At 40.0% G+C, this 18,225-nt stretch overlaps 1 protein-coding gene across 4 annotated transcripts in view, besides 3 other annotated features; it reads left to right on the top strand.

The window, feature by feature from the left end:
• Positions 1 to 18,225, top strand: part of POFUT3 (protein O-fucosyltransferase 3) — a 165,086-nt gene that overhangs the window by 113,405 nt on the left and 33,456 nt on the right. The gene's annotated exons all lie outside the window — the stretch shown is intronic.
• Positions 6,627 to 7,246: an enhancer, noted in NCBI's record as "NANOG hESC enhancer chr8:33210014-33210633 (GRCh37/hg19 assembly coordinates)". NCBI's record gives its function as "activates a minimal SCP1, AML or CMV promoter by ChIP-STARR-seq in naive and primed H9 embryonic stem cells {active_cell/tissue: H9 hESC(naive and primed)}" and the evidence as "EXISTENCE:reporter gene assay evidence [ECO:0000049][PMID:30033119]".
• Positions 14,939 to 15,492: an enhancer, noted in NCBI's record as "OCT4-NANOG hESC enhancer chr8:33201768-33202321 (GRCh37/hg19 assembly coordinates)". NCBI's record gives its function as "activates a minimal SCP1, AML or CMV promoter by ChIP-STARR-seq in naive H9 embryonic stem cells {active_cell/tissue: H9 hESC(naive)}" and the evidence as "EXISTENCE:reporter gene assay evidence [ECO:0000049][PMID:30033119]".
• Positions 15,057 to 15,351: a silencer, noted in NCBI's record as "tiled region #14794; HepG2 Repressive non-DNase unmatched - State 23:Low, and K562 Repressive DNase unmatched - State 8:EnhW". NCBI's record gives its function as "represses a minimal TATA promoter and a strong SV40 promoter by Sharpr-MPRA in HepG2 and K562 cells {active_cell/tissue: HepG2 | K562}" and the evidence as "EXISTENCE:reporter gene assay evidence [ECO:0000049][PMID:27701403]".

The following is an 18,225-nucleotide window of genomic DNA, read 5'->3' as shown; positions in this document are numbered from 1 at the left end:
AAGCCACTGTGCCTGGCTGAGGTAGATAGTTTTTTATTTTCTTGCTTTTATAATACTAAACAAAATAAAACTAAAATAATATAGCTATGGTGGGGTGAAATTTTAAACTTCTTTTCATTGTGAGAAGTCAATAGTTAAGATTTGCCAATAGTTTCTTTTTGTGGTGGTAGAGTACATCCAAAGCCTCTTGGTGGAGATGATCTGAACTCTAGCTGGAACCTCTTGTGCAAGCCCTTTACATATGGTGATTTAAGGCACTGAGGCTCCCTTTGTTCTATAGGGTGGGAGTAATTTTCTGTGTTTGGAAAAGATAGTGCCTTCACCAAACATCTTAGTTATGGAAAAGTTAAAAGTCAATTATAGGAAGAAGTGGCAATTTGAGAATAGATGCCATAAACTCTTGGAAAGCAAATTATTGAGGCTTAGAGATCCTTCTTCCTCACCTTACAAAACCCATTTTCCCACAACATCTTTTTTTGAAGAAGTTTAAGAAGTACAAAAAAGATGTAAGAATACTATAAATAACACTTGAATGTTCTTCAGTTAGATTCACCAATTGATAATATCTTGCCACATTTGCATCATTGCTTTTAATTTCTCTTTATTTTTTTGCTGTTTGAAAGTAAGTTGCAGCCATTGTAACAATTCACCCCTCCATCTTCTGTGATTTGTCTTAGTTCATTCAGGCTGCTATAACAAAATGTCATATACTGGGTGGCTTATAAAGAAAAGAAACTTATTTTCCATAGTTCTAGAGGCTGGGAAGTCCAAAATCAAGGTGCCAGCTGATTTGGTGTCTGGTGTGGGACTGCTTCCTGGTTCATAAACAACCCTCTTTTTGCTATAACCTCATATTGCAAAATGAGTGAGAGTTTCTCTGGGGTCTCCTTCTCTTTTTTTTTTAAGAGATGGGGTGTTGCCATGTCGCCCAGGCTGGTTTCAAACTTCTGAGCTCAGGCAATCTTCCTGCTTCAGCCTTCCAAAGTCCTGGGATTACAGACCGAGCCCAGCACTCTGGGTCTCTTTTATAAGGACACTAATCACTAATCCCATTCATGAGAGCTCCATCCTCATGACTTAATCACCTCCTAGAGGCCACACCTCCTAATACCATCATCTTGCAGGTTAGAATTTCAACATGAATTTTGGAGGGCAACAAACATTCTGACCATAGTAACATTCTTCTAAGGAATCACAAGAGCATTATTGCACCTAATAAATTGAACACTGATACAATACTATTATTTAATACACAGTCCATATTTACAGTTTTCTAATTGCCCCATGATGATTTGCTATATTTCTTTTTTCTTTCCAATTGAGAATTGCACGTATTTTTTACACATCCCTCTGTTAATCTAGACCAGTTCTCCTGTTTTACTTTGTGTCACTGTGGTTTTGGTCTTTTATGACACTGACATTTCTGAAGAGTCAAAAACATTTATCTTACAGAATATCCCTTTTTAAAATTTATTTATTATTTATTTTTGAGACAGGGTTTTGCTCTGTTGCCCAGGCTGGAGTGCAATGGCACCATCCTGGCTCACTGCAGCCTAGACCTCCTGGGCTCAGGTGATTCTCTCACCTCAGCCTCCCAGGTAGCTGGGACTACAGAAACACACCACAACACCTGGCTAATTTTTTTGTATTTTTTATATAGAGAGATGAGGTTTTGCCATGTTGCCTAGGCTGGTCTTGAGCTCCTGGACTCAAGTGATCTGCCCGCCTTGGCCTCCCAATGTGTTGGGATTACAGGTGTGAGCCACTGTGCCCAGCCTTGTCTTGTAGAATATTCCATAATGTAGATTTATCTGATTGCCTTCTCATGATTAGGTTCATGGACCCCCTTCTTTTCTGAGGTTCAACAGTATTAGAACATCTCTAATGGACTAAAGAGACACTTATGGAGGCTGCCTGTTGGAGAGGAGACCAGCTGCGTATGAGTGGAGATTATTTGGGAAAACAGAGTCTGGGGTGGTGACTCAGGCTTTAACACCTAGGTCTACAGGACAGTTTTTTATGTAGTTCTGCATGTGTATGTGCACGTGTATGTGCATGCACAACAAATTTTTGGGATTGAGAGAATTAAGAGAAGGAGAAAAATAGGAGGAAAAGGAATAGGGGAAAACAAAAGAAAACTTAAGAGGTATATACAGAGAGAAATATAGATATATACACATATATATGTATATATATATACACACATATATGTATACACACACACACATACATATATATATATATATTTGCAAGAGGATAATGGTGGTAGAGAATGGGGTCTTCTAATGTACCAATTAATTTTTTTAGTTTTCTCTCTGTAACCAAGAACAACTCCTTGGGCTAATAGGCCCCTAAAATTCTTAGATTTATTAGAATAGTTAGAAAAGAAGATCAAAACCTTTTGGAGATAGGAAAGATAGACACTCATATTAAAATAAATGTGGGTAGGAAGAATCAATATTGTGAAAATGACCATACTGCCCAAGGTAATTTATAGATTCAGTGCCATCCCCATCAAGCTACCAATGACTTTCTTCACAGAATTGGAAAAAACTACTTTAAAGTTCGTATGGAACCAAAAAAGAGCCTGCATCACCAAGTCAATCCTAAGCCAAAAGAACAAAGCTGGAGGCATCATGCTACCTGACGTCAAACTATACTATAAGGCTACAGTAACCAAAACAGCATGGTACTGGTACCAAAACAGAGATATAGATCAATGGAACAGAACAGAGCCCTCAGAAATAACACTGCATATCTACAACTATCTGATCTTTGACAAACCTGAGAAAAACAAGCAATGGGGAAAGGATTCCCTATTTAATAAATGGTGCTGGGAAAACTGGCTAGCCATATGGAGAAAGCTGAAACTGGATCCCTTCCTTACACCTTATACAAAAATTAATTCAAGATGGATTAAAGACTTAAATGTTAGACCTAAAACCATAAAAACCCTAGAAGAAAACCTACGCATTACCATTCAGGACATAGGCATGGGCAAGGACTTCATGTCTAAAACACCAAAAGCAATGGCAACAAAAGCCAAAATTGACAAATGGGATCTAATTAAACTAAAGAGCTTCTGCACAGCAAAATAAACTACCATCAGAGTGAACAGGCAACCTACAAAATGGGAGAAAATTTTCGCAACCTACTCATCTGACAGAGGGCTAATATCCAGAATCTACAATGAACTCCAACAAATTTACAAGAAAAAAAAAACAACCCCATCAAAAAGTGGGCAAAGGACATGAACAGACACTTCTCAAAAGAAGACATTTATGCAGCCAAAAAACACATGAAAAAATGCTCACCATCACTGGCCATCAGAGAAGTGCAAATCAAAACCACAATGAGATACCATCTCACACCAGTTAGAATGGCAATCATTAAAAAGTTAGGAAACAACAGGTGCTGGAGAGGATGTGGAGAAATAGGAACACTTTTACACTGTTGGTGGGACTGTAAACTAGTTCAACCATTGTGGAAGTGAGTGTGGCGATTCCTCAGGGATCTAGAACTAGAAATACCATTTGACCCAGCCATCCCATTACTGGGTATATACCCAAATGACTATAGATCATGCTGCTATAAAGACACATGCACACGTATGTTTATTGCGGCTCTATTCACAATAGCAAAGACTTGGAACCAACCCAAATGTCCAACAATGATAGACTGGATTAAGAAAATGTGGCACATATACACCATGGAATACTATGCAGCCATAAAAAATGATGAGTTCATGTCCTTTATAGGGACATGGATGAAATTGGAAATCATCATTCTCAGTAAACTATCGCAAGAACAAAAATCCAAACACCACATATTCTTACTCATAGGTGGGAATTGAACAATGAGAACACATGGACACAGAAAGGGGAACATCACACTCTGGGGACTGTTGTGGCGTTGGGGGAGGGGCGAGGGATAGCATTAGGAGATATACCTAATGCTAAATGACGAGTTAATGGGTGCAGCACACCAGCATGGCACATGTATACATATGTAACTAACCTGCACATTGTGCACATGTACCCTAAAACTTAAAGTATAATAATAATAAAACCAAAAAAAAAATAAATGTGTTGTTATTGTCTGAGATGATGAAGCAGGACATATCAATATAAATATAACATCCCAGTTTATATAACTAACAATTGGCAGATCCAAATTTCAAACCCAAGTTGGTTTATGGTAATGCATGATGGTTAATTTTATATCATCTTGACTGGACTAAGGGATGCCTAGGTAGCTGGTAAAACATTATTTTTAGGTGTGTCTGTGAGGGAGTTTTCAGAACAGATCAGCATTTAAATCAATCGATGGAGGCTGCTGCAATTTTTTTTGCAATACTCCTGAAAAAGCTGTTCATTTTCCACATTGATATTGAAAAATCCAGTTGTACTCTTATAACCTTTAATATAAATATGAGTTCTTTACAAGTGGAAGGGAGCCTCTGTCAGCACTTATAAGTGAGCCTGTTTTTCCCTTCTTTAGGAAGGAAGATATAATATTGATATTGGAATATAAATAATCTGGTTGGCATGTATTAAACACTTGGAAAATCCTGCAGCAGCTGTGTTAGCCTTAAAAGATACTCCCATTGATAAGAAAGCCTAGGTGTGGTGGTCTCTCACCTGATTTGTTTGCAGGGTGCCATTGTAATTCTGCATCCAAAAGTATTTCCATTTCTCCATTGTGGGTACTGGCAGAATAAGGCTCACAAAGGACTGTGAAGTAAAGATCACATATTTGTGTAAACAACGAAAGTTCAGAAAAAAGTACTGTTGGGATTTCGGAAGTGCCGCTATGGTAAACCATGATTATAGTTATGGGAAATGACCATAAAGTTCAAAGAAAAATAGCGTATGATGTCATCCCCCATGCCCTACTTGTTATGCTCCTCCCCACATAAGTCTCAGATCTAAGAAACAAAGACGCCATTAGTCAAGTCTGTTATTCTCTTTAATTTGATTCTTATCCAAAATTTCCTTTATTTTTGCAATTATAGAAGATAACATGTGATGGTTAATTTTATATGCCAAGTTGACTGGGCTAAGGGATGCTCAGGTTGCTGGTAAAATATTATTTCTGGGTGTGTCTGTGAGAGTGTTTCCAGAATAGATCAGCATTTGACTCAGTAGACTGAGTAAAAAAGATCGCCAATGAAAACAGGCATTATTTAATCCAGAGGGGTTAGATAGAACAAAAAGGCCAAGAAGAGCGAATTATCTCTCTATTCTTGAGCTGGAACATCCATCTTCTGCCTTCATGCATTGTTATTCCAGGTTCTTGGGCCTTCAGTCTCAGATTGGGAATTATCCTCCTACTGCCCTCAGACTCAAACCGGGGCTTACATCATCAGCTCCTCTGGTTCTTGGGCCTTTGGACTTACAGGGAATTACACCACCAACCCTCCTCGTTCTCCAGATTGTGGAACAGATGGTAGGACTTCTTGACCTTCATAACTGAATGAGCCAATTCCCATAATAAATCTTCTTATCTATATGTAATCTCCTATCGGTTCTGTTTCTCTGAAGAACCCTGACAAATATGATGTGGTTCTCCAAAATTCATATTCTGCCTATCTTTTGAAACACCAACAACACACCAAACAAATTTTACTATAATAAGAGGCTTTCAAATTTTCAAAAAGTCGGCGGGAGGTGAGGGGGATGACAATAACAAGTAACAGAGCTGTATGGATAATGAAGAAAGAGAGTAAAAAATGCACTTTCTGAGGAGATATAAAAATAGTGTTAAGTTGGTGAAGCAGAATTGTACAGTGGAGCTGATGCACACAGCATAATTCCAGAAAAAGAGGCTTTCTATTGGTTTCTTTACCGAGGCCAAAGTCTTAGTTTTGATTTCAGGAAATCCCCAAACAGGAAATAAGATGTTGCAAGCTTTGGGCTTTTGGGACAGAATCAGGAGAGAGATAAATTCTAACAACCTAAAAATTGCTCAGTGATTTCTTGGCTTCTGAGGGCATGTCACCGAGCCAAGGTGAAGCCACACTTTCTCCCTCTGACTGCAGCTGGCTCAGGTGCCAGATCTCACCGCCAAGCACCCCAAAACTAGTGATTGCTCAACACAACCACATTCCCCATGTCCTCACAGGGGCTCTGTTGAAGTTGCACAATCCTTTAGCAAACTTAAGGGGTCATTCATGAAGGGCACGAAAAACAAGGAGAAAACAACTTCTAATCTTGTGCAGACGAGAAAGAATCTGTTTTGGCAATAGCAAGGAGGGGGATGGCTGTAGAACTCCGGGGTTTCTGCAGTGATCTCAGTGCTGGCAGCCTCTAGGATGACCTTGGAAAAGACTTTTAGTCTGTGTCAACTTGATCAGAATCTCCAGACAAAACATGCGTGAGTTCAGCCAAACTGACTGTTTCCAACATTTGCCTGTTTGACATCATGTAGGCACAGTCTTCATTGCACTGGGCTTTAATTTTACTCTCATAAAAGATGTTGGGAAGGGATCCCTGTCTGCTTCCATTCCCTCTTTGTCTAACACCCCTGCAAGCAAATTACAGGGAAACATTCAACAATGAAGATTTATCAAGTATTGCACCATTCATGTATTAACCAGAATATGGTGGAGTTGAGTTTAGATCAATTTGGAGATGGCTGGAAAGTGACACTGGGGACTACAAACCTGAATGTGTTCAACAGGATTTACAAAGCTTTCGAAATGTTGCTCTCCTCTTATGGGCATGCTGCTTCCCAATTAAACAGAAAACTTGGTCTCAGGCTGTGCACAGCTTCTCTCATGTTTACATGTGTCCCATATGTCCTCAGGGCACTGCCCACTGGGATAATTGATTAATCTGAGGTGGTCATTAATTGTTTGATGTCTGTTGTAGAGGAGGATAGGGTGGTCCCAGGGTAATCTGATATGAGGATAGCCATGGGTGAATGACAGTATCTCTATTCTCTCATGTCCTGCCAAGTCCCGACATTCAAAGTGAGCTTGGCAATTATCTAACAAAGAAAAGAGAGACATGTGGCTTTTCCCAATGGGGGCTTTCATTGTCCATTCGTGTCCCTTTGTTTACTGCCTCTCAAAGAAACCATGACAACCATATTTGTCTCTATTTCCTCTCCCCTAGATGTCTCTGGTTCCATCTGTTAGATATTCACGGATGAAGTCAACTTTTTGTCTTTCTCATTATAAGTGAAAATACACTTATGTGGGTTCATTTAAAAAAAAAGAATCAAAAATAAAAATGGGATACTTGGCTTGATACATTGTTAAATAACTTCTCCACACTTTCTTAATTTTCACTAGCCTGTGGACATATTCATTTATCTGATTTGTCAGAAAGTGCCTGTGCAATGTGAAGAAATGCATCATTGCACGGGGAAATAAAGCCCCGTTTAAGGTATTTGTGTAACAGAAAAGTGGCCCCTTCATTCTCCGGCTGAGTGGTGCACATTTTGTTTCTAACTCCAAAATCTCACGTAGTGACAGCCAGGAACACCTCTTCTTCCTCATAAGGTGGTTTTGCTTTCTAAGGCTTTTTGTAAGCGTGTGAAATTTCATGGCTATTTGATGAATACTAGACACAGAAAGCAGTGACTGTGGCTTCACCCTCAGCAGGACACAAGAGGGGTTTCTTTTTGTGTAAAGTGTCATTTACAACTTGGTCCCATTGACAGAGCCGTTCAACACACAGCCATCCCAGGCCTGGGAGTCCTGGCTTATATCTAGTTTTGTCTTTGTTATTAAATCTTTATGACCTTGAGCAAAAGATTTTGTCTCAATGTGAACCCCAGCTCCTTCACATGTAGAATGAAGTGAAACTAGATGACATATAAATTCCCAAACAGCTTTAAAATGATATAATTCTGTCATGGCTAACCACTGGCTAATGACTTTGCTAGTTTTTATCTTCTACCTGTTATATACAGTTATAGCCTCTATCCTTTTTTTTTATCTCACTCTGTAATGTTTCTCATCTGTCTTGCCTGTTTTATGTTTTCCACTCTCATCTGTTTCAATTTACTGTTTTAGTCCTTTTGTGTTGCTACAAAGAAATATCGGAGGCTGGGTAAGAGGTTTATTTGGCTCACAGTTCTTCAGGCTGTACAAGAAGCATGGTGCCAGCATCTGCATATAATGAAGGCTTTAGGCTGCTTCCACTCTTGGTGGAAGAGGAAGTGGTGCTGGTGCATGTGGAGATCACATGGCAAGGGAGGAAGAGGTTAGGGCAGGAGGTGCAGGGCTCTTTTTTAACAACCAGCTCTTGAGAATAATAGAGCAAGAACTCACTCACACCCCCTGCCCCCCGCCGACTCCCCATCACCAGGAAGGGCATTAATCTATCATGAGAGATCTGCTCCTATGACCAAACCCCTTTCATTAGGCCTCACCTCCAACACTGGGGACCAAATTTCAACATAAGGTTTGGAGGGATCAAACATCCAAACTATAGCGTACACTTATGACTTTAAAACATATTTAAAAATGAGCTTTAGGCCTGGTGCAGTGGCTCGTGCCTGTAACCCCAGCACTTTTGGGAGGATGAGGTGGGTGGATCACCTGAGGTCAGGAGTTTGTGACCAGCCTGGCCAACATGGTGAAACCCTGTCTCTACTAAGAAAACAAAAACTAGCCGGGTGTGGCGGTGCACACCTGTAATCCCAGGTACTCGGGAGGCTGAGGCAGGTTGCAGTGGGCAGTGAGCCGAGATCGTGCCACTGCACTCCAGCCTGGGCAACAGAGTGAGACTCTGTCCCAAAAAATAAAAATAAAAATAAAGAACTTTGTTGCATTATAATTATATAAAACACAGTGCACCCATTTCACATTTAGTGAATTTTTTCAAATGTATATAAATGTATTTATACCACCACAATTAACATTTAGAACGTTCATCCACCCCAATAGGTCCCTTAGTTTCTCTTTGCAGTCAATACTCCCCTTTTCCTGGCCCAAGGCAATCACTGATCTCTCCTTTCTGACACCAAACATTTTTTTCTCTTCAAAGCCATGTTTCTAATCTTGATGCAAATATATATATGATCAATTTTCCACTGGGAAACTTGACTTAGATGCATGCAAGCCCCTTGACCTTAAAACAATGGAAATCAGGATCTTTTTCTATCATTAAAATTGTATGTCTGAGAATCATCCTGTATTTCTTTCTTGCCTCCTCTTCCCATGTCAATCAATCCCACTCAATAGTCCACTTCCTTAATATATTCACATCTGTCCCTTCCTTCTGCTACTATTTTTGTGCAGGGTCTAACTCACCACAATCTAGTCTTACCAAGTTCAGGAGCTGGCCGTGGATTTTCACATCCACTCATCCTTGTCCCTTAGGGTGTCAAGGACACCACCCTCTGTTTCAGGGAGAAGACAGGGCCTGGGAAAAGGATGTGGGTCATTTCAGATGGGGCTCAACATACCTTCAGCCAAGATGAATCTCTCTTACAGATGATCCACAGTCAATATGCAAGAAGCTGTTAATAAAAAGCTTCTGCACAGCAAAGGAAATAATCAGCAGAGGAAACAGACGACCCAGAGAATAGTAGAAAATACTTGCAAACTATGTATCTGACAAAGGACTAATATCCAGAATCTACAAGGAACTCATCAAAAAGTGGGCAGAAAACATGAATAGACAATTCTCAAACAAAGATATATAAATGGCCAACAAACATATGAAAAAATGCTCAACATAACTAAATATCAGGGAAATGCAAATTAAAGCTATAATGAGATACCACCTTACTCCTGTAAGAATGTCCATAATTTTTACCATAATTTAAAAATTAAAAAAATTAGATGTTAATGGGGGTGTGGTGAAAAAGGAACACTTTTACCCTGCTGGTGGGAATGTAAACTAGTACAACTACTATGGAAAACAGCACGGAGATTCCTTAAAGAACTGAAAGTAGATCTACCATTTGATCCAGCAATCCCGCTATTGGGTATCTGCCCAAAGGAAAAGACGTCATTATATGAAAAAGATACTTGTACATGCATGTTTATGGCAGAACAATTCACAATTGCAAAAATATGGAACTAGCCTAAATGCCCATCGACCAATGAGTGGATAAAGAAAATATGGTACATATACACCATGGACTACTACTCAGCCATAAAAAGGAACCAAATAATGGCATTTGCAGCTGCTTGTATGGAGTTGGAGACCATTATCCTAAGTGAAGTAACTCAGGAGTGGAAAACCAAACATCGTATGTTCTCACTTACAAGTGAGAGCTAAGCTATGAGGATGCAAAGGCATAAGAATGATACAATGGACTTTGGGGTCTTAGTGCGAAGGGTAGGAGGGGTGTGAAGGATAAAAGACTACACACTGGGTACAGCGTACGCTGGTCAGGTGATGGGTGCACCAAAATCTCAGAAATTACTACTAAAGAACTTATCTATGTAACAAAAAGCCACCTGTTCCCCCAAAACTATCAAAAAAAATTTTTTTAAGGCACTTGTGAAAAAAGCAAGGAGAAGAGGAGCTTGCATGGCTACTTGCCCAGGAAAAGGGCTACATTCATGAATGGGGAAAAATGTCTGTGGCCTCTGGCTTGACTCCTACAGCTATCTGGCACTGGTAGCCAATACAACGGGTAAGACCCTTGACACGGAACTACTCCTTTCCATGAGGCTTCTCTAGATGCACGCTCCATACATTAGGCTCCACGGATCTCCTCCGAGGTCAAGTCCACATCCTTTGGCTCTCAGCTCAGATGAAGTTCATACAGTCTTTTTCCAATGTATTTATGTGGTGTAACCTTTATATGCTGCTTATTTTAGGTTTTTTTCTCATATAAACGAAACACTCTCTAGCTCAATATTCTTTAAGAGCCACTCATCACTTCTAGGATAAATACTTTCTGATATAGCCCTTGTCTGAATTCCTAGGCTCACCTCCTTCTCTCCATTCATGTGCCCCTGTGCTCTGCCTGCACCAAACTACTTGCCTGTTCCCTAAACACTCCATGCTCCCTTCATACCTCTAAATCTTTGTAGACTCTGTTTTATTTCCTCTGCCAGGAATATCAGGACATAAATGATTCCTGTTTTTTCTTCAGGACTCACTTCAAATTATTTTCTCAGTAAAGCCTGCCCTAATATCCCCAAAGGCTATTACTCTTCTTCTTTCATTACATATTTGTATTTCTCCTGTGTAATTACCAGGTTATACACCAATGTGGAAAAGGAGGAAGTGGTACAACCCATTCCCTACATGGTCTCAACAGTTACCCGGTTAACTCACACATATACACTTTCATGTGTGCACATCCACACACCTACAAGGAAAAAGGAAGGACACACCTAACACTCTGACTTTTTTTTTGGTTGAAATTCTACATTCTGGCTCTTTGAGAGTTTTAATGAGGAGGTGGACTCATTATTTTCACTCATCATCAATTGGGAGTGACTCTTCTGCCACATTTTATTAGTTTTTCTTTCTTCAGTTTCCTTCACTGGTTCTGAGACAGTATGTTCCTTGTCTCCAATGTTCTGGACTATGTAGCATTCATCTGCAATAACAGAGGCATTTTCTGTAGATGGCCTTTTTTTTTTTTTTTTTTGAGGCAGAGTCTTGCTCTGTCACCGAGGTTGGAAAGCAGATCTCGGCTCACTGCAACCTCCACCTCCAGAGTTCAAGGAATTCTCCTGCTTCAGCCTCCCGAGTGGCTGAGATTACAGGTGCCCACCACCAGGTCTGGCTAATTTTTGCATTTTTAGTAGAGACCAAGTTTCACCATGTTGGCCAGGCTAGTCTCGAACTCCTGACCTTGAGTGATCCACCCACCTTGGCCTCCCAAAGTGCTGGGATTACAGGTGTGAGCCACCACACCTGGCCACTACATTGTCTTTTTAAAATATCATCTGTCTCCTTTGTCTTCTCTTATGTTAGTCTGGTATGCACCTGGCATCAGGAGGTGAAGGAAAAATCAATCCTGCATCGTCTGTAAAAGAATGTATTACATTGTAAGTTTTAGAATCCGTTTACATATTTGTCTCCTGCAGACTGAGTTCCTTGAAGGTCAGGTGGTATCCTTTTCTCTATACATCCCTAATGCCTAGCTCAGTGCCCGGCAGAATCCATCAATGAATGAATTTATGACTTTGAATTCTGCCTATACTTCTATTGCCAGTTCATGGTTTATGTTAAGTAGCCTGTTTTGCCTTAATTAAAAACCTGCCCATGAGTAAATAAAGTGTACTTGAATATATGTCTGAATTTAAAACATTTTCTCATTTAAAATTAGCAACAAGCATGAGTAATATTTTCATGTGCCAATGCCTCAAATTCAATGCATCGTGTTTTGAAATAGTAACCAAAGCCAAGTCTGGATAATTAATTTAGATAATTTGTCAAGTCTTACTGCTGGTGGTGGACATGTAGACATAATATATAGCTACAAACAGTATTTGCAGAACCTATGGTACTTTAAAAGGGAATAAAATAAATGATCAGAGAAAATACAACCAAACAGTGCAGGCTTTTTTCATTAACACTTCCAGAAAAGGAAGCTAAGTGTCAGCTCAGAGTGTTGATTGCGGGGATCAAGGTGGAGATGCTTGTTTTTTTTAGGGATTGGAAGAACCTGGAGCGGTTCTCTTGTTTTTGTGCGGATGGTGACAGGCGCAGGAGAAGGAGCACCTGGATATATTTTGAAGCATAGGCTGTATTGCTAAGTGTCAGAGAGTTGGGTAAAGCATTCAAAAGGCACTTTGGAGATCCATATTCCTAACAAATGCCAATAGTGTATTATAATTTTTGATTTTATGGAGAAATTATATTTCCTTCAGGGACTAAAACTTCATAGAAGTTTTCTCTGACTAATCTACCTCATGATGATTCTTTGCTTGCTTTGAATAACTGTGACATTCACATGGGCTGTCTCTGTTCTCTATATTTATATTATGTTTGTTCATATGATGCCTTAGAATAAGCCCAGATTGTATCTCACCTACTAGATTATTTTATCCTGGGGGCTCATGTCTTTCTTTGCATTCTCTATAGCTCAATATATGTTCCAAACATTTTTACTTATGGCCCTGATGTGACTTGAGCCTCAAAACAACTTTGTAAGATGGAAACATTATACCTCTGATTTCTGCAGATTGAAAAACAGATGTGGAATATCGAGTAACATCCAAATGTATGCAGAAAACAAGGGGTAGTGTCCAGATTGAGAGCAAAGTTTATGATAATTCTGCAATAAGCTCTGAAAAGAAACAGAATGATTCCAAAGGAAACAATTAGTGGTCCTTTTGCTGACAACATAAAATGGAGAGGCAGCAGTGGTTAGTTATGGGCCTGGTATATTTTTCATGTTATCTGATAATTATATTTATTCCACACTGGTCATTCATGAAGCATGTAATCTAAAGCTCAACCTGTAATTGGTGCTTAATAGAGAAGGGTTTGTTGGCTGACAGTGTAAACCAAACCCTCAGATAATAGAAGAGGATGGACATCTGTTGATCTAGAAGTTTATGCAAAGCAGTTAGGTTTAAATTCTAAGGAAATTTAGCTCACAATTAGGCAGTTTGAATGCCTCTCACAGAGTTTTTTTTTTTTTTTTCTTTCCACTGCACTCAGTGGCTATAATTTAAAAATGTAGGGCCAGGCACGGTGGCTCACGCCTGTAATCCCAGCACTTTGGGAGGCTGAGGAGGGTGGATCACCTGAAGATGGGCGTTCAAGACCAGCCTGACCAACATGGAGAAACCCCATCTCTAATAAAAATACAGAATTAGCTGGGCGTGGTGGCAGGCACCTGTAATCCCAGCTACTTGGGAGGCTGAGGCAGGAGAATCACTTGAACCCAGGAGGCAGAGGTCGTGGTGAGCCAAGATCACCCCGTTGCACTCCAGCCTGGGCAACAAGAGCGAAACTCCATCTCAAAAAAAAAAAAAAAAGTAATAAATACCAACTTCTGTAGCTGCTTTACTGTCTTCTTTCCTCTTTCCACGCCCCATTGTTCCTCCTGCCATCATGCTGGTACCTCCTTAAGGCACTCACACATTTCATCCCTTGCAAATGGAGTATAAAAACATATTTAAAAAGCCATAATCCCAGCAGTTTGGGAGGCCTACGTGGGCGGATCACTTGACGTCAGGAGTTTGAAACCAGCCTGGTCAACATGGTGAAACCCTGTCTCTACTAAAAATACAAACATTAGCTGGGCGTGGTGGCAGGCGCCTATAATCCCTGCCACTTGGGAGGCTGAGGCACGAAAATCACTTGAACCCGGGAGGTGGAGGTTGCAATAAGCTGAGATTGTGCCATTACACTCCAGCCTGGGTGACAGAGTGAGACTCTGACTCAAAAAAAAAAAAAAAAAAAAGTAAAATATACCACATGTGGTGATTAATTGTCATAAGAAAATCACCCAGGGCATTGATGGCAGACCTGTGTTTTAAATCGTGTAAATTCAATGTCTCTCACTCTCGAGCTCTTTTGAATTTTAGTGTCTGAATCACCCTATAGTAGCATTGCTCTTTTTTTCAGGGTAATTTAATAAAAAGATGAAATTACTCTGCATACATTTTTTAATTGCAATTCTTGAGATAAAATAGGTTGATGTCATCCAAGTCCTCTCTCCTGAACCAACTGCAAATGTGTTTTTAATGCAAACAATTTTAGTCCATAAGAAATCTACTGGAGCAACAGAATGCTCATAAAAATATGCCCTGTTGGCTATATCACCGTCTCAGTTGCATTAGACAATTTCACATTCAATCTTTATTTTGATTTCTCTTATTATTCAGCTCTGTTTATTCCTGGGACCCATGTAGGGTGTCACAGTTATAAAAATGTCATAAAATCAAGCCATAAATGAAATTACCTTTAGGCACAAGTGACTTATCCGTGTACAAAGGTAAATCCTCCTGTTAACTTTTACTGAGCAAGGGATTCGGCAAGTTGCCTCTTAAATAATTTGGAAATTGCCATCTTGGGTTGTTTTCTGTCCTTTTGATATGTGTCTTTAGTCACCTTAGATTTTAGCTGGAACGTCTACTCTGTGGCTCTGAAGCAAGCTAATTTCCTTTTCTGTATCACAACCTTCGTCTGTGTTTTTGTTTTCCCTCAGCAAGTGAAGGAAGAAGATCAGGGCATTAATCTCACTCCATTAGAAGGATGCATTTCCGTTTTCATCCAATTAGCTGCTGTAATTTGAAGCTTTTGGTGCCTGCTGATAAGGCAGGATGCTGGCAGCAGAAAAGGCCATGGAGAGCTTTCAGAGGGGGCTCTGTGAGCTGTTATCACAAGTTTCACTCAAAAGATCAAGTGTCAGTCCTGCTTACACCAGTCAGATCCTCAAATCTTTATATATTCATTAACCATCGATACGTGGTTATTCAGGGAGGTGGCAGCAAGGCTTCAGACAGTAAGGTCTCAAGGCGCACAGAACCAAAGTAGCCAGTAATGAATTCACATCTCTGAGCACAGCTTGTTCTTAGGAGTGAAGGATTTAAGAAGCTGGCTTCTTTCCCTCTTTTAAAAACATAAGCGTATCCAGACTTGACATTTTTTTAAATAGGAGAAAAAGGCACACAAAACTTATTTTAACATGCATAGGGGAAACTCTCAGGAGTGTGATTACCCCTGGAAATTTTAATTTTACTCCATTTATTCATTCTTAGGGATCTCTTTGATATTAACAAGACAAACGAACTAACGGAAAAATGGAAGCTGTTAGTTTTGGAAGGCTGAAAAGACTCTGGGAATTCCTAACACAATGGGGTAATGATTTGCATAGGCAAAGGGAAGTGGGGGTTTGGAGGTCCCCACAAGGAAGTGTGGGTTGGGGGTCCTAACACCCCATATTATGTCTCTCTACCACTTTCTGCCATATGAGAGGAGAACACATGTACTTCTTAAAATAAGACAAGATATCCTTAGCAAATGTTAGCTTGACTTTCAAGAAGACGTGTGTGAGTTTCTGCTCCAAATATTGAAGTTGGATATTTTCTCTTCTAGAATGTTCATCTCCCATTTTTCTAGGAAACCTCTAGCATCAAGAAGCTGTTTGTAAAAAATAACTGAACAAGTAAAATCCTTTCAGAAAAAAACTCACTGACTTGAAATACCTAGTCAATTACCTCTAAAAGCAAGGATGGACAAGTGAGATAGTAAACTTGGGGTCTGGATCTCTCTTACTTTGCTTCGCTTTTCCTCATCAGTATAATAAAGGGGTTGTGTACATGGTAATTGCTAATATCTCTTTTGGTTTGAATATTCTGTAATTGGAGAGGCAGTACATTTCAATTTAGGATTGGCCAATATTAAGCTTGTCTATCGCATTTCTTGCCGGTTACATTCATGGCAGACACCTGTAATCAATTGTGAAAGCTTTTCCTGCTAATTTTAGAATCCCAAGGCCTTAGAAACCTTCTCAGCACAGAACTTTGAGCAATCAGTATCCATCAGATGAAGATAAAATTTTAACACCATTCCAGACATGATGGACAGATATGTAGTGAAGGACAGAGGTCAGGACAGAGATCTGGTCCTGTGTCTGTCTGTACACACTTGTGGAACCCTTGAGAAGTAAACTAAATATTTTAAAATTAAACTTGATATAGGTTTTTGCGTGAAAGTAAGTTTTCTTTTCCTTTTTTTTTTTTTTCTTAGACGGAGTCTTGCTCTGTCGCCCAGGCTGGAGTGCAGTGGCGCGATCTTGGCTCACTGCCTGCAACCTCTGCCGCCTAGGTTCAAGCGATTCTCCTGCCTCAGCCTCCCGAGTAGCTGGGATTACAGGCATGCGACACCACACCCGGCTAATATTCTGTATTTTTAATAGAGATGGAGTTTCACCGTGTTGGCCAGGCTGGTCTCAAACTCCTGATCTTAGGTGATCTGCCCGCCTCGGCATCCCAAAGTGCTGGCTTTACAGGTGTGAGCCACTGTGCCTGGCCAGTTTTCTTTAGGATAAGTGACTAGAGGTAGAATTGCTGAGTCATACGGTAACTGCACATTTAGTTTTTAAAGACATTGGCAAATGGTTTTTAGCTTGGCTGTAACATTCCTACTAACAATGTTTGAGTGATCCAGTTTTTCTGCTTCTTCACCAGCATTTAGTGTTGTCACTAGTTTTAGTTTTGGCCATCCTGATACATGTGTAGTGATTATCTAATTGTGGTTTTAATTCACATTTTCCTAATGGCTAATAAGATTGAACATCTTTTCATGGGTTTTATGCTGTCTGTATATCTTCTGTGAAATACCTTGTCATGTCTTGAGCTCATATTCTAATTGGATTTTTTTTTTTTTTACTGTTAAGTTTTGAGAGTTCTTTATATATTCTAATACTAGTCCTTTGTTGCAATATTTTTTCCCTTTGGTCAGTCTTGCTACAGATTTGTCAGTTTTCTTTTTTTGTGGGGGGACAGGGTCTTGCTCTGTCAGATAGGCTGGAGTGCAGTGGTACAAACACAGCTCACTGCAGCCTCAACTTCCTGGGCTTGAGTGATCCTCCTGCCTCAGCCTCCTGTGTAGCTGAGCCCACAGGTGTGAGCCATCACACCTGGCTAATTTTTTAATTTTTTAATTTTTTTTTGAGACAAAGTCTCTCTTTCTGTCTCCCAGGCTGGAGTTGCAGTGGTGTGATCTCAGCTCACTGCAGCCTCCACCTCCCGGGTTCAAGCAATTCTCTTGCCTCAGCCTCCCAAGTAGCTGGGACTACAGGGACATGCCACCATGCCTGGCTAATTTTGTATATTTAGTAGAGTGGGGTTTCACCATGTTGGCCAGGCTGGTGTCAAACTCCTGACCTCAGGCCTTGGCCTCTCAAAATGCTGGGATTACAGGCATGAGCCACCATGCCCAGGCTTTTTTGATTTTTTTGTAGAGATGGAGTCTTGCTATGTTGCCCAGGCTGGTCTTGAACTCCTGGGCTCAAGCAATCTTCCTGCCTTGGCTCCCCAAAGTGTTGGGATTACAGGCACTAGCCACCAAGCCTGGCCTAATTTTCTTTATTGTTTTTCTGTTTTCAATGTCATTGATTTTGACTCTTATTTTTATTATTTCCTTGCTTCTGTTTGCTTTAGATTTATCTTGCTCTTTTTTTTCCCTAGCTTCTTGAGGTGAGAATTTGGATTATTTATCTCAGGCTTTCCCCCACCTTTAATGTATACATTTAGTGCTATAAATTCCTCTCTCAGTATTGCTTTAGTTGTGTTTTTTTGTCAGTTCAATATATTTTCTATTTCTTTAGAGCCTTCCT

The sequence above is a fragment of the Homo sapiens genome, chromosome 8, assembly GCF_000001405.40.
Source record: "Homo sapiens chromosome 8, GRCh38.p14 Primary Assembly".
NCBI lineage: Eukaryota > Metazoa > Chordata > Mammalia > Primates > Hominidae > Homo > Homo sapiens.
Note: the sequence above shows the minus strand (reverse complement) of the source record. Positions and strands in the feature narration are given on the sequence as shown.